This window comes from Homo sapiens, chromosome 20 (assembly GCF_000001405.40).
Source record: "Homo sapiens chromosome 20, GRCh38.p14 Primary Assembly".
In the NCBI taxonomy this organism is placed as follows: domain Eukaryota; kingdom Metazoa; phylum Chordata; class Mammalia; order Primates; family Hominidae; genus Homo; species Homo sapiens.
The window spans coordinates 40,262,128-40,268,716 of record NC_000020.11 but is presented as its reverse complement, the minus strand read 5'-3'; the positions used below and the strand labels follow the sequence as shown (position 1 = coordinate 40,268,716).

The 6,589-nt window shown below is 43.2% G+C and overlaps 1 annotated feature.

The window, feature by feature from the left end:
* Window positions 5,705–6,205: an enhancer, noted in NCBI's record as "H3K4me1 hESC enhancer chr20:38891152-38891652 (GRCh37/hg19 assembly coordinates)". NCBI's record gives its function as "activates a minimal SCP1, AML or CMV promoter by ChIP-STARR-seq in naive H9 embryonic stem cells {active_cell/tissue: H9 hESC(naive)}" and the evidence as "EXISTENCE:reporter gene assay evidence [ECO:0000049][PMID:30033119]".

Sequence of the window (6,589 nt, the reverse complement as noted above, 5' to 3'; positions counted from 1 at the left end):
TCTGGGGCCTCCCTGTCTATCAAACCCTTGTCTTGACAGAAGAGTACTATGTTTCCTGTCCCTTTCACAGTAACCATCACAGTTGTAAATGTGTGTTTATTTGTGGGAGCATTTGGTTAATGTCTGTCTCCATAGCTGGAATGTAAACTCCTCCAGTGCCGGGACTCCACATCTGATTGCATTCAGCCCTGCATCTCCAGTACCAATCCCATTACTAGGAATGTAGTTTACACTAAATAAATATTTGCTGATTGAATAAGCAACTCTTCTGTATTGGATTACACACATAGGAGAGGTGACTTCCCAAATCTATTCTAGTTCAAATGTCTAGTATGACAATCTGTTTCCATACTGTAGTAGGTGCTGTTGGTGCCCTGCTCAGCTGCCCTTTGCTGGGCTGGTGCATCCATGTCTCATCAGTGCTAGATGTTCTTGACTCACAGCTGGACCCTTCAGAGAATTACTTGCTATCAGGAGCTGTGCCACCCAGAATGGCCTGGGAAGCTGCATTCTCTCCAGAAGTCTGTCAGTAGCCAATGGCCAACTAACACAAGGGCAGAAAAGTTTGGCACCCTTGCCTCAAGGTGGGAACTCTGTGGTTCCACGCAGGCTCCAGAGCTGCCTGTGGAATGAGGCTGAGACTAGACTTCAGCTGCACCCTCACCTTTGCCCGGTTTCTTCCTCTGCCCTATAAGGCTTCCCTCACACACTTGCAAGTTTTATTTGGGGGCACTCCTTCAATAGCTCAATTACATATGAATCTCAGCTTAGGAAATGCTTCTAGGAGACCTAAACTAAGACACATTCAATATGCATAACCAAAAGGATACTGGTAATTTTTTTTTTTTTTTTTTTTAGATGGAGTCTCTCTCTGTCGCCCAGGCTGGAGTGCAGTGGTGCCACCTCAGCTCGCTGCAACCTCTGCCTCCTGGGTTCCAGTGATTCTTTTGCCTCAGCCTCCCAAGTAGCTGGGATTACAGGCATGCGCCACTACGCTCGGCTAATTTTTGTATTTTTAGTAGAGACGGGGTTTTGCCATGTTGGCCAGGCTGGTCTCAAACTCCTGACCTCAAGTGATCCACCTGCCCCGGCCTCCCAAAGCGCTGGGATTACAGGCAGGAGCCACCACGCCTGGTTGATACTGATAAATTGATTCTCTGGAAGAAAATGAAAACAACAATAAACAACAATTCTGATTTGTAGCATTTATCAATTATACTACACAACTATAGTAGTAGTGTAAATAACTCCTACTACAGCCATTTTCAAGCTGCCAATGTGATTGCTGCTGAACACAAAGTTGAAAAGACATGCATGCAATTGGCTCATGGGAGTCAGTAAGAGCTATGTTTAAAATATCATAACTCATGATATACATAAATTAAAAGTTGTACACATAATATTAATATTATGATTAGTACCATTTTGATGGTAACTATGTGCTAGGCATTTTGATAAATACTTTATTTTTACCTCTGTCCTAATCTCCAAGAAGCTTATACTATTCTTACCCCCATTTTATAGAGGTAGAAACTGTGGGTCATAGAGTTACATTATTTACCTAAGGTCACACTACTAGTAAATGGTGTCGCTGAGATTCAGCTCTGACTCCAGATTCTTAATGCATGACCAACTTTAGTGTCACCTACTAAAAGGCAATAACTGCTCCCTTCCTGAGTATAGAATTTTACATTTGGAATAGTGACATTTTTCTGTACAGCAATTTTCATTCCTTAGCATATTTGATTATTTCAATAGAAACTATGCAGGGCAAACATGAATATTTTAAAGATGAGGACCTTGAGACTCAGTGATTTGTTCAAAGGTTCTAAGGCTCAGAACTAGAGTTGCACACCTGGGCTTCTCACGGTCCAGGTGTCTTTCCAGCAGACCTTAGTCTTTCTTCCTCAGAACCTCAACTCTCAATGACAGCTTCATTAACCTCTGGATGTAAAATTTAGCCAATCCTTATCCAGAGAAGGCCAGCATTCAAGGTATTGAATGAAACATCATTCATCAATTCTTCAGCGGATTGGGCACCTACTGTGTGCCAACCAAGGTTACGTGTAATTTCAAGTAAGGAAGGTATGCCCAGGACTCCTAAGGAACTGGAGGTTAAACCAATTGAGTTTAGTTTAGCATATTGTCACGTACTTGCCACACCTACCAGGGAGTTTCTGAGACTTTGTTTTGGAGTCACAGATGCAAAGCGTTAATGCAGGACGTGGTACATGACTGGATAGTGATAGATCTAACGAGGCCCCTTCTCCTTCCTTGGTCCAAAACTGTTAACAGATCTTGCTGGAAAATGCCAGTGCATTTATGTTCTGATGGAATGGTGCACATAGGACATCCATGCCTGGAGGTTTTTCATTCACCCCTCAACGCCATCTTGTGGGCAATGAAAACTTTGCCAGGGTTTGGGGAAGCCTGCCCAGCCATTGTGTGATTTGACTTAAAAATCAGAATTGGATAATCTATACAGCTGTAGAAGCAAATCTACAGATCCTCTCAATGTGTAAAATTTGGATTTAGGAATTCAGAATAATGGAGTCTACTCCTGGCACCATTAATGATATTGATGTATGACAAGGTGCCTGACTTTGGTTTCAGTTCTCAGCAGAGGCTGTAGAATCAGGTAGATCTAGGCTGGACTTTTGACTTTGTAACTGTGTCCTTGGCCAAGTCACTTGACCTCTCTCCATCAAGTTTCCACATTTGAGAAGTGGAAATAAAGTCATGCTTATTTTACTTCCTTCTTGAGAAAATACAATGAGATGATTCATGATTAGTCCTTTACTCTGCATTTCAAATGCGTTCATCCACGGTAGATGTTATTGATATTATTGTGGCCATTATAATTGCTTTCAATACAGACTACTTTTTTTTGCCTTTTTGCCTCTTAGAATTGCTATCTTGATGGTTATAGACTTGAAACTCTAAATCAAATACTAAGAATTATTAACTGATGTACTTTCTTCCCTTTCTGTTGGAGAAAACCTCAGGACAAGAATCATCTCTTTCCAAGTCTGGAACAGTGGATGAATTAGGTGGTTGTTAAGTAGAACAGAGAGCAACTTACTGGGTATTTAGCACCTGTAAGTCAATAGGCGTTGAGCAGGAGGGTCTGATGATTCCCCTGAAACACACACCTATTGGGGAGTTTTTTGCATATAAAGACATAAGGAGATTATTAAGGAATAGATTAACATTTCTCTCCATTTGATAGTCTGTTGAAAGCTACCTGTCCTTTCCTCTGGGGGCCCGAAAGAACTATATAGGGTTTAACATGCTATTTTACTTATAATTTCTAGTTAAATTGAGCCGTAGACTTCATTATTAAAATCTGTAAATTCAGCTGGCATTTATCCAACACCTGCAGTGTGCCTAGCCTTGTGCAGTGGTGGAATCAGACCAAGCTCCTGCTCTCAAAACATGGGTGCCGTGCTAAAATGGCAATCCAGAACTTGACAGACTGCACACCAGAACTGATCAGGGCTACCAAGAAGGGGCCTTTTGAAGAGTTATGGGCTGAACATCAAGGGACACAGTGCTCTCACTGCTACTCCGTGGCTATGCTGAGTGGAGTTGCCATCCCGTGGCCAGCCTCAATTTCATATTGGTTGTGAGTCTGAAACATCCGGATAACTGTGAGCTCAACCTTTCTTCCCATCTCAGCTTGCTCTGGATTTATCAGAGAGGTAGGGAGATAGGATAGCTGGACTTTGCAGAAATTCTTTAATGAGCCAAGCACTCTGGCAGACATATATAATGTTACAGTGTAGTGGGCATTATTATAGTTACTCTACTGATGAAAAAAATGAGGGCTCAGAGAGTTTAAAAATTTACTCAGTTACACGGAGGATGACAGTGTGTCTGACCCCAAATTCCTAGCTTTTTTCAGTTACACAGGCTGATGGCTGGTAATACAGAAAAAAAAATCTCACTGTGGATACAGGTTGAAGAAGATTAATCAATGCCTCTGCCCTCAGATAACTCATAGTCAAGTAAAGAGGTTCTTAACCTTTTAGGGGGAAGGGCAGGGTGTGGGGATGTTGTGTAACTTTGAGACGCTCCCTCGAAAAATGCTGAAAATCTTGTGCACTACTTCAGAGGAATGTTTGTACACCCTCCCTGTCCCATCCCAATCCCCAGCAGAGACTCTGAGCTCAAAACTCCCTGGAAGCAGACAGTAATTCCAAGGTGCCCTGCCCTGTGGAGGAAATGCTGCTAAGTATTCCACTGGAAACTGCATGGACAGAAATAAGTGCTGGTTGTGGAAATCTCCCCTTCCACGCTGGCTGCTGCTGCAGAGCTTGGAAGGAAGATGTACACGACAGTAATTATACTAAAGGACTCAGGCCATTCAGTCAGACGCAGGGCTGACTTCTGAACGACCATGGAGCAGAACAGCCACTGCTAATGCTATGGATCCGTTTTGTGTAATCAGCGTGAATCTCCATGGGCTTTCTTGGGTGAGCTGGAGATGAGGTGTAATTCCCTTTGCAGAATAGATCTGTATGGAAAGTGTGCCACAGAGTGAAAACCCACGTACTGTATTGCAGTTCCTTATTTGTTTTCAACCTAAATTGGAAAGGTATTTCTTGGGGTTGGCAGTTGCTGAGATAATTTTTTTTAAATTAAGAGTTAAGTATGATCAGGACTTCTAGGGTGCTGGTATGTTCTATTTCTGGATCTGGGTGCTGAGTACACTTAAGAATGCGTATTATATTTTTTCTATATGAAGATTGTCTTTCTTTGTGTGTGTATATATGCTTTATGCATACATTTCTATATATTCTATTTAGTGGGTATATGAAAATATTTTTTGAAAAGAATGAGGCAAGTTATATAAGAACTGACCTTTTAAGTGAAAAAAAATATAGTCATCTACATAATTTAAAGTACTCAGTTACAATCAGCCAAAAGTCTGCCATATTAGTTTAAAAGTCCTGTGAAACAGGACTGAGACACCTCAACACATTGAATTGGGAGTTCTAGAAAGATCCTCCAGCTCCCTTCCAGGACATCTTTGGGTGCCTCGAATGACTGGCCCCTGCTCTTCTCTGAGGCCCTGCCTCCTCACTTGTGGCTTCTTCCAGCTGAGACCTGGCTGCTACTAGATACAAGGTAACCTGAGCAACCTCACAGGCCCACCAGGTTGTGGAAAGAGAAAGGAGTCTGCTGCCAGGTCCTTGGTGTCTTTTGCATCGAGGCATTGGTGTGCAGCCTGAAACTGCTCCCCTCCCCCATCTGCTACCTTTTTTCTGGGCTCCATTCATTCACAAGTGCTTAGGCCTCAGTTTACTGGGCAGCACTCCAGTGTCCTCTTGGAGCCTGCCTCTGCCCACCTCTGGACCATCTCTGTCCAGGAAGGGGCTGGTTTTAGCTCCTCCAACCCCCTAGTCTGATTGTCCAGATTCTAAATCCCACCTTCTGTGCATACACCCCGGACTTTAAACATGAGATATCAACTGGACACCAAACACAGTGGCTTTTGTGCCCAACAATGCTCAGCGTCACGCACTTGCTTTAATCTCCCCTAGACTCCCACTCCAGTCCTCCTTCTGCGCAGCCTCTGCAGACCCATTTCCATTGTGTTCCTTTCTTCCCTCCCTCCTGGCTCCTGCTGTTTGGCGTCTGAGTTATGACGTCCTGTGTCCCATTGCTTTGGGGAAGCTGTTGACTTCGGAAATGGGAAAATCTGACTGAAAGGCAGGAGGAAGGGAACCAGAGTCAGAGCCGAGGCCTAAGTCAGCAGCAGCGGTCTGTGAAGCTGCGAGAGACGGCATTTGTACTGGGTCACTGGATGGAGGGTGCGCAGCACCTACACAGGCCAGGCAATCCCTGGAAACTCAGCCTAATTGCTCTGTCTTTGGGGGGTAGGAGGAGAGGATGGGATGTAATGACACAAAGGGATGTGTTTATCTGCCTTTGTCTCTCCATCACTGTGAAAATGCCCCAATATCTGTTTTAATTCCCTACTCATTTTGCTATTTATTCACTTCCAAAAAGATTTAAGGAAGTTAATGTTCCATATGTCATGGGTTATGTGGATCCAAAATGCCCCTCTAAGATCCGGTATAGAGCATAATTTCTGAGAATATATTTCAGAAGACACAATTCTCCAAGGCCAGGGTCAGGGAGAGAATAGCGAGTGTGTTGCAGGATGTCAATAAATCTGCAAGACCTCAGACACATGCTTTTGCCTCTCTCAACCCATTTCCTCCTCATCTGTAAGTGGAGATAATGATCAGACCTTGCCTGATTCTCAGTGGTGAGGCCTAGTCAAGATGTGAGAGAGCTCTTTGTAAACTATAAAATGAGGAGTTATTAGGAGCCAAATGTGCACAAATTTCAGGAAATGAGATTCTGCTGGACAGCAAGAGCCTCGTGATATAGGAAGTGTCTCAAAGTCTGGCTTTTTAAATTGCTGTAAAATCAAGTATGTAACAAAACCTGTGTGACTCTCTTGGCTGCTGGGATAAATGTCTTTGCTTTCCTAGGCTGCAACCACATGACCCTGATTATTCTGCCCTTCTGTCTGTATTTTTTGTAGAATCTTGGATCTGTTATTTTTTCAACTTTT